This window comes from Homo sapiens, chromosome 1 (genome assembly GCF_000001405.40).
Source record: "Homo sapiens chromosome 1, GRCh38.p14 Primary Assembly".
In the NCBI taxonomy this organism is placed as follows: Eukaryota; Metazoa; Chordata; class Mammalia; order Primates; family Hominidae; genus Homo; species Homo sapiens.
In genome coordinates, this window is record NC_000001.11 from 62,621,216 (window position 1) to 62,638,395 (window position 17,180).

At 35.1% G+C, this 17,180-nt stretch overlaps 1 protein-coding gene across 15 annotated transcripts in view, besides 1 other annotated feature; it reads right to left on the reverse strand.

Annotated features, from left to right (window-relative positions):
* The window catches only part of DOCK7 (dedicator of cytokinesis 7), a 233,661-nt gene that overhangs the window by 166,490 nt on the left and 49,991 nt on the right, over window positions 1-17,180 (reverse strand). For all 15 annotated transcript variants that reach the window (XM_047432967.1, NM_001272001.2, NM_001272000.2 and 12 more), the window contains exons 8-12: window positions 15,322-15,388; window positions 13,558-13,707; window positions 12,283-12,363; window positions 10,025-10,190; window positions 4,044-4,186 (exon numbers count right to left, since the gene is read on the reverse strand). In XM_047432967.1, the coding sequence (XP_047288923.1) occupies window positions 4,044-4,186; window positions 10,025-10,190; window positions 12,283-12,363; window positions 13,558-13,707; window positions 15,322-15,388 (607 nt within the window). The remainder of the gene's footprint in view (window positions 1-4,043; window positions 4,187-10,024; window positions 10,191-12,282; window positions 12,364-13,557; window positions 13,708-15,321; window positions 15,389-17,180) is intronic.
* Window positions 1,571-2,071: an enhancer, noted in NCBI's record as "H3K4me1 hESC enhancer chr1:63088457-63088957 (GRCh37/hg19 assembly coordinates)". NCBI's record gives its function as "activates a minimal SCP1, AML or CMV promoter by ChIP-STARR-seq in primed H9 embryonic stem cells {active_cell/tissue: H9 hESC(primed)}" and the evidence as "EXISTENCE:reporter gene assay evidence [ECO:0000049][PMID:30033119]".

Genomic DNA, 17,180 nt, shown 5'->3' on the forward strand with positions numbered 1-17,180 from the left:
GGAAAATCACAACTGTCCTCATACTAAGGCCAGAAAGAAAACTCCAAAAGGACTTCAACCAATATGAAGAGACCTTGAAAAACACAAAACAAATTACCCATAGCCGATTAACACAAATGTTCAATTTAATGTTAATATTTTTTCTTCTTACAATTAAAATAGCTAGAGTTTTTCTTTTATTAAAGAGTCAGTCTTTAGATTTTATCAATCCAATCTTCCTGCTTTGAGATTTTATTGTTTTATGCATATTTCATATATTGTTCTTTTATCTTATTTGGTAATGCATATATTTGAGGCTACTTTATTACTGTCAACTCACCTTGAGCCACAACCCATTTGCTCTTCATCATTATATTCTAAACAAGGATATAGAATTGATCTTCTTTTATCTCACTATTTAGAAAAAATAATTCTTAATTTCTAAGTGGTTATAGTTTTTTATTAATAACTTAAAAAGCTTTTAGTTTTATTGAGTTATGGTTAGAAAATCTGACTTTACAAGGTTTCTTCAGTGACCCAATATAACTAATTATTGTAAATGTTCTATCAGTTGTTGAAAAAGTATATTCTTTTCTTGTGCATACAGAAATAATATAAATTTTTTGAGACCAAGTTGCCAACACATGAAATTAATTTTTAAATGGTCCTTATTCATAATATATTCAGATTATTTCTAGTCTTCATTATTTCTATTTCACCCATTAAATTATATTTTCTCTTTCGGTACTTATTGGTCTCCATTCTTTACTCCCTGTTTCCATGCCTTTTTGGTGAGTGAAGCACAATTCCCTCCCTAGGCCTGGCCACATGCCTTGCTTTGCCAATAAGCAAACATGATGCAAACAGAGGCTTGAAAAACATTTGCACAATTTAGTTTGCTCTCTCTCTTGAACTTTTGTCAGAGCTATGAGCACATGACCAAGCTAGCCTGCTAGAAGATGACAGTAGAATTTGAGAGACATGTCACAGAGCTGAGTCATTTCTGTCTTCCCAGTAGAAGTCAGCCTATATTAGCTGATCTCAGCCAACCTCCAAACTTGTGAATGAGCCTAGTTCACTGGAGTAGTCTAGCTGATACCCTTTCCTCTACATTGGTTGTTTACTGTCCTGTACCACTGAAAAAAATAGATAACATATATCTGTCAACAAATAGAACAAATGTCTTCAAAACTATTGTGTGGGTTTGATTTTTTTTTTAAATATCTATGTATTTCTAATAATTTTGACTTCACACATTTTATTTATTTATTTATTTTGAGACAAGGCCTCACTTTGTCACCCAGGCTGGAATACAGTGGCATTATAATTGCTCACTGCAGCCTCAACCTCCTGGGCTCAAGCAATTCTCCCGTCTCAGCCTCCCAAGTAGCTGGGACTACAGGTATACACCAACATGGCCGGCTAATATTTTTTATTTTTATAGAAACAAGGTCGGCCAGGCACGGCGTCTCACGCCTGTAATCCCAGCACTTTGGGAGGCTGAGACGGACGGATCACAAGGTTAGGAGATCGAGACCATCTTGGCCAACACGGTGAAACCCTGTCTCTACTAAAAATACAAAAAATTAGCCAGGCATGGTGGCAGGCGCCTGTAGTCCCAGCTACTCGGGAGGCTGAGACAGGAGAATGGCATGAACCCAGGAGGCGGAGCTTACAGTGAGCCGAGACTGTGCCACTGCACTCCAGCCTGGGTGAGAGAGCAAGACTCAAAAACAAAAACAAAAACAAAAACAAAAAACCCAGAAACAAGGTCTCACCATGTTGCCCAGGCTGGTCTTGAACTCTTAGGCTCAAGCGACCCCCCAGCCTTGGCCTCCTAAAGGGCTGGGATTACAGGCATGAGCCGACATGCCTGGCCAACACATTTTAAATCTGTACATAAACACTAATGATTACTATATCCCTACTGTAGACAGTAATCGCTCATAAACTGAAAAAGAAAAAACTGCCTTCTGTGTCTCATTTAGGGAAAAATCTGTGCCTTGAATTCTACTTAATTAAAATGGTAATCTCTTTTTTTAACTTAATTTGCATTTGCCTGATGCATAATTTTCTAGCTACTTAAAAATAGTTACAAAAATAGTATATGCTCATGGTTAAAAATTTTTAATACAGAACCATATTAAACAGTTTCTGTACTGTAAACATTTTCCACTGCTCCATGTTTCCAGCAATCATTTATTTTTAAGTTTTCATAATCATTTTGTGCTACTTCCCAGTTATAGTAACAGTATTCAAAACAGTGTCCAGAACATGGTGATGAATGCTCAAAAAATACTGGTTGGATAAATAGATAGGGGGTAGATGGCTTATTGATTTATGCTTATAATACCAATTTATTGATAAACAGCAGGCTGAAGAAATGAAAAGAAAGCTGTGGAAATACCAACAGAAGTGGTGTAGCAGCTGAAGAAGTAGAAAGAGGGGGAAGTAACATACCTGCAAGGTTGTGTCACTGTAGCAAATCTATTACCCCATTTCCTAGCTATATCTGGTCTATCACTTTATGAAAGTGCAGTCTTCTCTAGACTCTCTTTTACTACTGTCCATAATAAAAAGACCAATACCATTTGAGACATTTATCACTGGCTTTTTTTCCTGTGAGTTTCTCAGAGCAGATGCCCATGAATACTACTGATATGTAACAGTGAAGGGGACTTCAAGTAGATTGCTATCTGTCTATTCAAGGTCCATTCAATTGAGGTCTACCCTCAATTCTTGCCCTCTCAAGTTATGAGATATCAGTAAGCCAGGATTTCCTCTTCTTACTCAGAATAACATCTCAGAAAATGGAATTTTGAAGGAATTACTAGCATTTTCCCTTAATCCACTCCAAAACATGTACTACTCCAGTTTGTTACGCTAATACAAATTTTCTCCCCATTCTTATATGGTTCTAGTCACCTAGTCACTTACAACAAAGACTTTCAAAATTTTCTGATCTTGATTCATGACACAGAATCCATTTTACATCAAAATCTAGTATATACATATACACATGTGTACACTCATACAAAAGGGGGAGGGGGGGAACGACTCCCTAAAGCAATATTTAACCTTACTACATGCAGTGCACTATTTTTTCTATTCTACTCGTGTTTTCTTTTCTTTTTTAACCTGGGTGTCATCTACTAAGCTAATTTTCATTATCATTAAGAATCATGACTGGCATTGGAAAAATACAGATTTGACTCATGGTTAAAAGTGAAGGGAACAGGTTTGCAAAGAGTAAAATATCTTTGATAGAGAATGTCTTGGATCCATACATTCACCTCTAAAAATAACACTGACCTCATTTTAGCACAAAATGCACTCCTAGGGCCTGAAAGTTCTATTTCACATATTATGAATATGGTAGTTTAGGCCAGAAATACTTGTGTGGGGAAGACATGTAGGCCACATACTCATTCTCATAAAGAAAATTCATAAACAACCAATGTTTAAGAAAAGTTACACTATTAACAATTTGGAAATAGGATACAGGCTGGACATGGTGGCTCACACCTGTAATCCCAGCTGGGAAGCCGAGGAGGGTGGATCATGAGGTCAGGAGTTCGAGACCAGCCTGGCCAACATTTAGTATCCTGTCTCTACTAAAAAATACAAAAATTGGCCAGGCATGGTGGGTGCCTGCAATCCCAGCTACTCAGGAGGCTGAGGCAGGGAGAACTGCTTGAACCTGGGAGGCGGAGGTTGCAGTGAGCCGAGATCTGTCTCTGCACTCCAGCCTGGGCAACAGAGCGAGACTCTGTCTCAAGAAAAAAAAACAAAAAAAAACAGGATACAGGTATGAAAGATGGATTTTGATGCATTATTAGTCATGGTCAACATTTCAACATTTAAATAAATATAATGCTAAAATAATAGGAACAATATAAATCGTTTCTCATTCTTATAGTTGCTTTTATTATTTTTATTCTTAAAGTTTTTAAGTTTCTTGGAATCACCCTCCCATACATGTATAGTACAATCACTACCTTTCTGAAATTAAAAAAATTTATGCACAAACATCTCCCCAAAATTCCTACATGACAGAACAATACCTGCTTAAAAAAATTTGTCACTGTGAGAGTAGCTGGTCGAAAGCTCGTCAAGTTACAAGCATCATCTCCACTTGTTGTCCTTTCAAGTGATCGTCTGCCAACAATACTAGAATTCCTCCTCTCTGACCAAGACCCTTTTCGTTCTACAAAAGAATTAAAAAAAAAATTCATTTTCATAGAAGTTAAATTTTGTTTTAAAGTAGCTTTCCAAACACAAGGAAGAATCTACTAAATTGAAAATTACCCACTCAGCATATCAAGTATAGTAGGAGAATTTTGCTTTTGGAGAGATTAGTAAGAAAGTACCTAAATCTTCTGGTTGTCTTTTTACAACATCACAGGTGTAAAAATAAGTTTCTAACATGCAAAGATCTATGGGCATGACCAATGATGAGCCACAAAGAGCAGCTATAGAGGAAGTATGCATTTACTACAAAATGTTTACCACAGGAAAATTTTAGTCATCGTTAATCTTCCCTCAGTCTTAGCTCTTTAGTTTGAAAGAGAATTGTAAGATAATTTGTATTCAAAGTACTTGCAAGATAATCCTATTATTTAAAACCAACAGAACTAGACTGAAGATTAACAAGGAAATAGAATACTTGCACAAAACTATAAACAAACTAGACCTAATGGACATTTACACTACACTAAAGTACACTAAGCAAGAGCAGAATATACATTCTTGTCAAGCACTTAGAAAATATTCTCTAAAACAGTCTATATACTAAGCCATAAAACAACATACAATACATTCAAAGAGATTAAAATCATATAAAAATGTTCTCCAACAACAGAAGAATTAAACTATAAATCAATAACAGAAGAAAATTTGGGGAATTCACAAATGTATGTAAGTATAATAGCCCATTTAAAAAATAGCTAATGGAAAAAGAAGGAATAATAGAAATTAGGAAGTATTTAAGATGTATGAAAATGCAAGAACAACATACCAAAGCATTGCTAAAGCAGTGCTCGGGGGAGGATTTACAGCTATTAATGTCTATTTTAAAAAGAACTATCTCAAATCAGTAATATAACCTCAGACTTCAACAAACTACAAACTACAAAAGAAGAGAAAAAAAATCCGAAACCAGCAGAAGGCTACAAGAGGCAACTGCAGAGTGGAAATAAGGAAAATAGAAACTATAAAAACCATACAGAAAAATCAATTAAACCAAAAACTGTTTGTTCAAAAAGATAAACCCGACAAATCTTTAGCTAAAATGATGAACCAAAAAAAAAAAGACTCAAATTACTAAAATCAGGAATGAAAGAAGAGATATCATTTACAGACTTTACAGAGTAAAAGGAATAAAGGAATATACAGCAATACTATGAACAACTGTAGGCCAACACTTAGATTAGATACCAACTAGATAACTTTGATGAAATGGACAAATTTCTAGAAAGATTCAAAGTATTTATATTAAAACTGACTCAAGATGAAAGAAAATGTGAATAGACCTAAAACAAGTAAAGAGATCGAGTTAGTAATGAAAAAACTTACCACAAAGAAAAGACCAGGCCATGACAGGTTCACTGGTGAATTCTTCCAAACTTTCAAAGAATACCAATCCTTCAAAAACCCTTCCAAAAAAATGGAAGGAACACTTCACAACTCATTCTATGAGGCCAGTATTACCCTGATACCAAAACCAGACAGAGTCATCAAAAGAAAGAAAAACTACAGACTAATATACCTTATGAATATAGATGCAAAAATCCTGAACAAAATACTAGCAAACAGACTCCAACAACACATAAAAAAGATTACATGCCATGACCAAGCAAGACTTTTCCCAGGAATTTAAGGTTAATTTAACATCCAAAAACCACATCATTCGATGCAACACCACATTAAAAGGATACAGGACAAATAATTCTAATAGAGGCAGAAAAAGTATTTTACAAAATCTAACAGACTTTCATGATAAAAACACTTTTAAAAATTAGGGATAGAAGAGAACTTCCTCAATCTACCAAAATACATCTATGAAAAGCCAACAGCAAATATCATACTTGATGGTGAAAGACTGATTGCATTTTCCCTAAAGTCAAGAATAAGACAAGGATATCCACTCTTGTCATTTCTAAAACATTGCAGAAGAGGTTCTAATAAAGACAGAAAAGAGAAAGAAATAAAAGGCACCCAGACTGAAAAAGAAAAGTGAACTACTTTTTATTTGCAGATGACACGGTTTTGTATACAGAAAATCCTAAAAAATCTGGGGAAAAAAACGAACAATAACAATTCGAATTTAGTAAACAAATTCAAAAAGGGTTCAGAGTATAAGATCAATATACAAAAGCCAATTTTATTTCTATACACTAGAAATGGACTTTCTAAAGACAGAATTAAGAAAACAATTCCATTTAAAATATTATCAAGAAACGATAAAATACTACGGTATAAATTTAACAAGAGAAGGACTTGTACACTGAAAATGACACAACACTGAAAAAAATGAAAAAGATTTAAATAAATGAAAAAAATTTCATGTTCATAGATTCAAAGATTTAAAATTGTTAAAATGGCAACAATCTATAAATTGACTTAGAGATTCAATGTCAGCCCTATCAAAATCCCAGATGCCTTTGTGCACAAACTGACAGCTGGTCCTAAATTTATATGGAAATAAAAGAAACCCAAAATTGCCAAAACAAATCTTGAAACAGGATAAAAGCTGGAAGACCCACTCTTCTCAATTTCAAAACTTAGCCTTCAAAGGTAAAGTAATTTGGTATAGCAGCGGTCCCCAACCTTTCTGGCACCAAGGACTGGTTTCATGGAAAAAAATTTTTCCACAGATGGGGTTGTGGGGATCGTTTCAGGATGATTAAAGCGCATTACATTTATCATTAGAGTCCCATAAGGTGCACGTAACCTAGATCCCCTGCATGTGCAGCTCACAATAGGGTTCATGCTCCTACCAGAATCTAATGCCACTACTGATCTGAGAGGAGGCAGAGCTCAGGCGATAATGCTAGCTCAGCTGCTGCTCACCTACTGCTCTACGGCCCGGATCCTAACAGGCAGGACAGGTACCTGTCCGCCACCTGGGGATTAGGAACCCCTGCAGTAAAGCACTGGCATACAGATCAGTGGAATGGGATGGAGAGTCCAGAAATAAATCCCACATGAATGGTCAATTGACTTTCAATAAGGGATCTAAGAAAATTCAATGGGAAAAGAATAGCCTTTTTAATAAATGGTGCTGAAACAACTGGATATCCACATAAAAAGAATGAAATTGGACTACCTCACAACATACAAATATTAACTCAAAATGGATTATTATAAACCTAAATGTAACAGCTGAAACTATAAAACTCTTACAAGAATACATACAAGTAAATTTTGATTCATATTACATAATGGTTTCTTAGATAAAACACCAAAAGCACAGTGACAAAAGAAAAAAATAGAAAAATGTAACTTCCTCAAAATTTAAAACTTCTGTGCTACGAACAATACCATCAAGAAAAGTGAACTCACAGACTAGGAGAAAATTTGCTATCATATATTAGGCAAGGAATTTGCATCTTGAACATATAAAGAACTCCTACAACTCAATGCCAAGAAGGTTAAAACCCCATTTAAAAAATAGGCATCAACTATTAATAAATAATAAAAAGACCAAAGCCATTAAAAAATGAGCAAAGGTTAAAAATACCTATTACTCCAAGAAAGATACACAAATAGCCAATACACACAAAATGATGCTTAATATCGCTAGCTTTTAAGAAAAGGTAAATCCAACCTACAATGAGTACCACTTCACTTGCACTAGAATGACTACAATCAAAGAGCAGATAATATGTTACACTGGTAAAGATATGCTGAAACTGGAACCTTCACACACTAGTGGAATGCTAGTGGAATTTTTGAAGGTGCAGCCAAATTGGAAAACAGTGTGGCAGTCCTTCAAAAGATTAAGCACAGAATTATCATATGACCCAGCAATTTCACTCCTAGCTATATATCTACATATCTAAGGAAAAAAAATGTCCACACGAAAGCTTGTAAATGACGTTTCAACACTATGAAACATTATGCATAATAAACTAAAAGTAGAAAACCCAAATCAACTGATAAATAAATATAGTATATCAATACAACAGACTATCATTTGGCAATAAAAATAAATAATACCAATACATGCTACGACATGGATGAACCTGAAAAACATTATGGCAAGTGAAAGAAGCTAGCCACAAAAGACTACATATTATACAAGTCAATATGTATGAAATGTCTGGCATAGACAAATCTATAGAGACAGAATATATATTAAAGGTTGTTTAGGGACAGGTTGCAAGACTCTGGGGGAATGAGGAGTGACCACTGCTAATGGGTACAAAAGTGTTCCAAGATGGATACAGAAGTATTCTGTAGCAGTGGTTGCAGAACCCTGTGAATATACCAAGAAAACACTGCACAGTAAGTCCTCATTTAACATCATGGATCAGTTCTTCAAAACTGTGACTTTAAGCAACACGTTGTATAACAAATCAATTTTACCACATGCTAATCAATATAAGCAAGAGTTAAGTCCCTACAGCATATTTCTGGTCACAAAAACTTAACCAAACTTCTAAATATTCAAAACACTTCTAATATTAAACATTCAAATAAATGTGCACTGTACATACATTTAAGAAAGATTAATAAAAATAAGTAGGATAATTATTTACCCAATTATCCCAGTTCAGGGTCACAAATGGCCGAAGCCTGTTCCAGCAGCGCATGAAAGAAGGCAGTGTATGGCAAATGCACCCGACAGCAGTAACTTAAGCAAGCCCTGAGAATGACCCTATGGTCTAAAAAGAATGTGTATTCGGAGTTCCGAGCTAAGGAACCTGGGAGTGGCCAAACTTGAAGACTCATTCCTTATCTATGAGAATAAGGACATCTGAACTTCTAGCCCATCCAGTGAAATCTAGGCCATACATGGAATCAAGGCCCTTTGTTTTGGGTTAAATGAGGGTTTCCAGGTAGAAGTTACTAGGGGGAGGATGCTAAGTGAAAATGCTACATAAACTGCATGCTTTTTCAAGTGGCTGTGGTTTTCGGTCCAGCTCGCCACTCTGCATGTAAGTTCCCTCAGTAAACCCTATGTCTCATTCTCTGGCTCCCCATCTCTTCTTCAGCCTGTGATATGATGTTATACTTACCAAAGTCAATAGGGGTCCCGCACGACAGGCAGGCACCTGTCCTGGACAGGACGCTATTCCATCACAGGTGCACTCACACACACACACCCATGTTACCTTACGCTGCTACCACTTAAGACATGCCAATTAACCTCATGCACACAGCTTTGGGATTTGGGAGGAAATGAGTACCCAAAACTCCCCACACAGACTTGGGGAGAACATGCAAACTCTACACAGACAGTAGCTCCAGCCAGGAATCAATTTGTTTCCTCATCAACATTATAAAAAATCAAAAACAAAATGAGATATTTGAAGATCTCCTGTATTGTACAATTTAAATTGGTGACTTATATGGTATGTGAATTATATCTTAATAATGGTGTTAAATGAGAAAAAGGCAAAAAAAAAGAAAAAAGAAAATCCTTTTTATGCAATATTACATTGCAGAGTCTACAAATGAAACAAGCTTATATAAGAAAAAAGAGGCCGGGCATGGTGGCTCACATCTATAATCCCAGCATTTTGGGAGGCCGAGGCAGGCAGATCACTTGAGGTCAGGAGTTCGAGACCAGTTTGGCCAAAATGGTGAAACCCCATCTCTACTAAAAATACAAAAATTAGCCAGGCGTGGTGGCGCACATCTGTAATCTCAGCTACTCAGGAGGCTGAGGCAGGAGAATTGCTTGAACCCCGGTGGCAAAGGTTGCAGTGAGCCAAGATCGTGCCACTGCCCTCCAGCCTAGGCCATAGAGCGAAACTCCATCTCAAAAAAAAAAGAAAAAAGTAAACATTTAGAAATGTTTTGTATGAAACACTCTTACCTCCAGTACTGATTTCTACTTCTGTAGAATCTCTTTCCAAACTCCCAGCACTGCTAACAATATTCATTAAATGGATTGCAGTCCAAGCAAAAGGCATGCGATATTTCCCAAGTCTTTGGCAAAACTGATCTGCTTGACTCTTCAGTTTCTCCAGTTTTTCTTTATTCTGCAAAACAGAACTTTATACATTATATGATTATACTTGAAAGAAATCAGTTAAAGGCTATTTCATACTACATAAAGGAAAAGGATGAGAAGTCTCAATTCTCAGCAGAGATGAGAAAAAAATCTGTACCTTACAGAGATGAAGTATTAGTGCAATATCTTAACCAGTGAACAAACTCAACACATTCTACAAATGTACGTACAGAGCAGGTCTTTGAAATTTCTATTTGTGATTATGTTATTCTGGGGAGAAGAGAGTAAGTACCAAACATGTATTATGTATTCCAAGTATTGTTTTAGGAAGTATAACCATGGTCTAGTCAGCAACTGGTAACTACAAAATATTCTAGTTATAATTTGTTAAATTTTGTTACTCTATAAAAGATGGAAGTAGCTGAGCACATTTGAAATAGTCCCTAACATATAACAACCATGAGTTAAGAGTGGGGAAGCACGAATAGGCCAATGATAAACAAGCTCAGAGTTGTAACAAAAGAAGGAAAGTAAAAAGTAAAAAGGAAAGTAGAAGAAGACTAAACGCTGGAAAAAGACTAACGGTCCAAATATTTAATAGTACAAGCATATCTGGAAGACATCTTGAGGCTGGCTCAACTTTTAGGCTACTCCTGAAACAAACATCAAGAGGTGGCCTGCAAAAGCCAATCAACACTCAAGACTGAAACCTATACTACCTCTCTCATATACTCTTTGCAGATGGGATGTTGAAGTATACACTAATGACAGTGTCCTACCTTGGGACTCAGGGCTAGAAAAAGATGAAACGATAACTAAATGATAGCACTATTACTATCTCTACTATACCCTTAAAACAGTTCTTATTTTAAGTATATTTCAAGTATACTTAATTCTATCAGTGTATGTAAATATAAGTAAAAAGCAGAATAAGCTGCTAGTATATTTAAGAGCACTATGTAACAGAGCAAATTTAATGTAAAATGACAACCTGGGGACAGCCAGAATACTATACTTAAACCATTAGTTCAGCCAGGTAATCAAGGATCAAGAAAAAAATATCATGTGCTCAGATCTACAGAAAAAGCTCAGTTCTTGTTATGAATCTTGGGAAAATAGCAAAACATTTTCTGGGTTTGGGTTGCTTACCCAGTATTCCTCAAGCATACTTCTCCCAGAAGTTCCAGTATTAAATCTTGTGTTCAAAGATCCAAAGATCACTTGTATTCTTGTAGCTAACCCATAGTATCTGAAATTTGTTATCAATTATCCAACTTTTTTTTTGCTTTTATAAGTTTATACACATTCTAGCAATTAGGCTGGGTATGGTGGCTCACATCTGTAATCCCAGCACTTTGGGAGGCTGAGGGAGGTGGATCACTTGAGTTCAGGAGTTCAAGACCAGCCTGACCAACATGGTAAAACCCCATCTCTACTAAAAATACAAAAATTAGCTGGGTGTGGTGGCACATGCCTGTAATTTGAGCTGCTTGGGAGGCTGAGGCAGGAGAATCACTTGAACCCAGGAAGCGGAGGTTGCAGTGGGCCAAGATCCTGCCACTGGACTCCAGCTTGGGTGACAGAGCAAGACTATGTCTCAAAAGAAAAAAAAAATCTAGAAATTAGCCATCTGATGGCAAAAAAAGGCTGTATTTTCTTTTTTTAAAGACTATTATATTTTTACTATATTCCTTAATAATCTGCAGTCAGATGGAAGACAAGAATACTTCTATTTTGCTAGGAAAAGTTCTGTCAATATCACTATTTTATAAATAAAGAAAACCTTTAATAATTCAGGAGTTAAACTGAATTAATTTAGTTCTCTCCATGAAGAAAAAAATGTAAAGAGTCAGTTAGTTTTGAGATAGAAGAGATTTTTAAAGAATACCACAGCATATGAAACATATGACACAGGCTAGGTGACAAATTAAATAAAGAAGAAAGGAAGATAGGAAGTGGGCAAACAGAAAAAAATATAGTACTAGTAAAATTCCTTAATATGCTTTGTTGCATATTAAAGCTATTAATTGCTATTGCATATAAAATGCTATTGGGAGAATAGTATTCTCCCAAGTTACAATAGTAATAATGTGGCGGAAATGAGAAGCATAACATTCTACCTTGGTGGCATCTGCTTCTTTGAAAATCATATATGGTTCTGCACACTCTCCAATGTCTCCTTGCTGTAGGACTTTTTCTAGCTGTCAAAGGCAAAAAAAGTTAAGATTAAGCTTTTAAAAGCCTGAAATTCAAGGATGGTTCAATATACGAAAATCAATATAACACATTAACAGAATGACAGAAAAAAATATATGACATCTCAATTGCTGTAGAACAAACATTAGACAAAATTCAGTACTCTTTCATGGCAGAAACGCTCAACAAAGTAGTAATGCAAAGAAACTACCATAATAAAGGCCATATATGAAAAGCCCACAGTTAACATCATACTCAATGGTTAAAGACTGAAAGCTTTTCCTCTAACATCATGAACAAGACAAGAATGCCCACATTAGCCTCACCTATTAGGCATAGTAATGGAAGCCCAAGCCTGAGAACTAAACAAGAAAAATACGTAAAGCATCTGAATTGGAAAGGAAGAAGTAAAATTATCTCGCAAATGCTATGATCTTTTATGTAGAAAACTTTAAAGATGCCACACAAAAAACTGTTAGAACTAATAAATGAATTCAACAAAGTTACAGGATACAAAATCTATATACTAGCAATGAGGAATCGAAAAAGGAAATTTAAAAAAAAATTTCATTTATAATACCATCAAAAAGAGTAAGATACTTACAAATAAACTTAACCAAGAAAGTAAAGGATCTATATACACTGAAGACTATAAAACATTGCTGAGAGAAGTTAAATTAGGCACAAATAAATGAAAAGAAATCCTGTGTTCATGGACTGAAAAGATTTGATATCATTAAGATGTCAAAACTACCCAAAGCAATCTATAAGCTTAATGCAATCCTTATCAAAATCTCAATGTTTTTTTTTTTTTTTTTTGCAGAAATAGAAAAACCCATCCTAGAATTCATAGGGAAATTCAAGAGACCCTGAATAATCAAAACAAATTTAGGGAAAAAAGAAGAAAGTTGAAAGTCTCATACTTCCTGATATGAAAATGTATTTATAAACTACAATAATCAAAACAGATCTAAGATATATATATAATTCCTATTAGTTCTGTTTCACTGGAGAATTCTAATAAAGAGTTCAAGAAAAATTAGGTAGCACCTACTGTGTATGTCCAATATTGTGTTAAAGAATATCAAGATGAAAAAAATATGTAAAGGTCAAATCTTTGCCCTTGAAAAGTTTATAATACTGACAGACAAGTATACAGACACTACAAAATAAACAAATATATTTAACATTATTCTCACCTTTATTACAAGAAAAACATCTTGGGAAGGATAAGTGATAGAAAAAATTGCTGATCTTGCCAGGGTAGTAATGGCAGCAGGTGGTACATGTGGACGTAACAACCCTTTCATCTGCTCAGAATTAAGGTCAAAATAAAAGTTTTCTGAAATCTAAAAAATATTAGTATGTTAAACTTTAAAATATGTACATTTTACAGTGTCTATTTCTTAAAAGAAAGCTGCTTCTGCTACTTACTTTTAGAACTCTTTCAATGAAACAATAATCTGTTTTCAATTACAGTAATTATAATAAGAAAACATTTAATCTTAATAAATTAAATTTCTATTTTCTTTTTAAAAACATTCATGTTAAATAATTCTCAAAAAAATTACTTATTTATCTACAGATAGTAGGATATTATACTCTCATGTAAAGTTTATATTTCACTGAGACCAATCTTTACATACCTAAATCAAAGTAAAAAAAGTAAACAAGCTATTTGGAAAACATAATAAGCATATTCTAAACAACCATATTCCAAATTCTTTTAATTAGAGGTGAGGGGATCAAGGTCAGGAGATTGAGATCATCCTGGCCAAAATGGGGAAACCCCATCTCTACTAAAATACAAAAAATTAGCCGGGCATGGTGGCAGGCGCCTATAGTCCCAGCTACTCGGGAGGCTGAGCCAGGGGAATCGCTTGAACCTGGGAGGTAGAGGCTGCAGTGAGCCGAGATCGCGCCACTACACTCCAGCCTGGCAAAAGAGCAAGACTCAATCTCAAAAAAAAAAAAAAGTAACCTCTAATAAAGTATACAAAGAAATTATCATTGAGATGATGGATTCCAAAGTGACTTTTAAAAAAATTTATGAATAATATCCCAGCAGTTTCGAGTTAGCAAATAAAAGTTGCTAGAGCAGAATTCCATTAAAGAAATCCATAATATGTCTTGTGTTGGCAGCAGAAGCCACTGAAGGCACTTCAAGTTTCCTTTTTTCTTTTTTTAATTTTAAATTGTTTTTAGTAGCAATGGCGGGGCCGGGCGGGGGGTGGTCTCACTATGTTGCCCAGGCCGGTCTTGAACTCCTGGCCTCAAGCAATTCTCCCACTTTGGCCTGCCAAAGTGCTGCAATTACAGATGTGAGCCACAAGCACCCGGCCAGCACTTCAAGTTTCTACTACATATTAGTCTTAGAATATTAAATTAAGAAATGTTGTAAAATAACCTTCTGACACGCCTGTAATCCCAGCACTTTGGGAGGCCAAGATGGGCGGATCACGAGGTCAGAAGATCGAGATCATCCTGGCTAACACGGTGAAATCCCATCTCTACTAAAAATACAAAAAGTTAGCTGGGCGTAGTGGCGGGCGCCTGTAGTCCCAGCTACTCGGGAGGCTGAGACAGGAAAATGGCGTGAACCTGGGAGGCGGAGCTTGCGCTGGTGAGAATTTGAAAATCATGTCAATAAAAATTCACTGTCATTGTCATTCCTATTGTTATGTACTGCTTGCCAAAAGTGATTTTCTTATATTGTCTTTTCTATTTCTTAAAGTTGCTTCTGCTATTTGCTTTTAACACTCTTTCAGTGAAACAATAACCTGTTTTCAATTACAGTAATTTATAAGAAAATATTTAACTAGTCCTAATAAGTTAAATTTCTATTTCCTTTTTAAAAAGATCTATGTTTAACAGTTCTCAAAAAAAATCAATCTTATAAAACAAACAGGTTTCTGAAACCAATGATTATGACAAATAACTATGGTCAAATTATATAATCTTACCTTTTTCTTTTCCTTGACATCATATAAAGCCAAACTTGCAAAAATGGGTTCAATTTCAATTTCAAACCTTTATGAAGAAAAAGGATAAAATAATTTAAAGATAAACATGAAATACACAGTTGGAGAGAAATTGATTCCAAAACTAAATTATCACAATACTTGGCAGTTTTCTACACCTGTGCCTTTGCCTATATTAAAACTTCTTCTTGAAATACACTCTTCTATGCATATCGTTCAGAGTCTAAATCAACCTTATCTTCTCTAGTTAATCCTAATTAATTTATCCAGCTACAAATAAACTCAAACTACCTAAAAGCCTAATGACATATTATGTCCATTCTGAGGCACTAATCACTTTCTAACATGGTCACTTATATATGTAGATATGTTCATTTTTAAATAAGTTTTAAAAATAAAAGCCTAATGTTTTCTTTTTCAGATTATAAATAATATATTCAATGCAAAAATCTTAGAAAACACATGAATATTCAGAGGAAAACAGGAGCATCCAAAGAATCATAATTAACAGTTTAATGCCTAATCCATCTAGACTTTATGCATAAATGCACTTGCCAAACAAATTTTTTTAAACAGTGTCACAGTATACATAATTTGTAGTCTGCTTTTTTAACTTAACATTTTGTGGACAAATTTTCACGTTATAAATATTATTCTTACCATCTTTTTTAATGCTGGCATAGTAATTCCCATTATATGAATACGGCAAAATTGTATACTTAATTGAGATGTCTAACTCATTTCTAAGAACAATGACTTACATACAGTAAACATCTAGTAAATATTTGTTGAATGAAATAATATATAATGTGAGGTTAACTAAAACTCTAGAGTAGAGGTTCTCAATGAAGGACAATTTTGCCCCCAAGGGAACATTTGGCAATACCTACATACATTTTTGGTTATCGAAACTACAGGAGTATTACTGTCACTTAGCAGTTAGAAGTCAGAGATATGACTGAACATCCTACGCTGTACAGGACAGTCCCTGACAACAAAGAACCATCTAGACAAAAAAGTCAATAGTGCTGACATTGTAATAACCCTGCTCCACATTGCATGGTATTAAAAGAGAATCGAGGACCTTGTAGAAAATACACAACATATTTACATTAGGGTGAGACTTTAATAAAGGGACATTTACAAGGATTTGGACAGGATCTTGAGGAAACAACTACAGAGTGCCATTCCCTGGGGCTAGCAAAAGCAAGTCATTACCAACCATAGACCTAAAAGAGAACATGGAAGTAATAACCAAAAATTAGAAAAGATAGCTATACCGAAGGTCCTTCACAGGAACTGGCCTTGGAAAGAAAGAGGCAACAGATCTAAGTGACTCAGCAGGGAACTCTCTTCTACCCTCTAACTTCCTGCTGATACATCCCTTAGTAAAACCCAACTACAAGTCAAATGAAAAGAGATCTTGGTGATCCTGTCCACGTGTCAACCTCTACAAAACCTACTCTGCATCATTTTGATACTGTCGGTCCATTTATTTTGGCCAATCCAGTAAATAAGCAGTATCCCACTGGATTTTTAATGGGAATCTTTTCATCTATTCACTGACCATTGGGATATTTTCGGTTGGCCCATTTTTCTATTTATTGTTTGACTCTTTCCTCATGAATTTGTTGTTCTTTATGCATTCTAGAAATGAGCACACTGCCAAGTATATGTGTTGGAAATACCTTCTCCTTCTCTATGATTTATCTTCTCTTGCGCCTTTCGATGAACGAAAGTTGTCCATTTTAATGAAGTAAAATGTGTCAATGTTTTCTTCTAGGGGTAGTGCTTTCTGTGTCATGTCAAAGAAATATTTTTCTTTCTATAAGATCATAAAG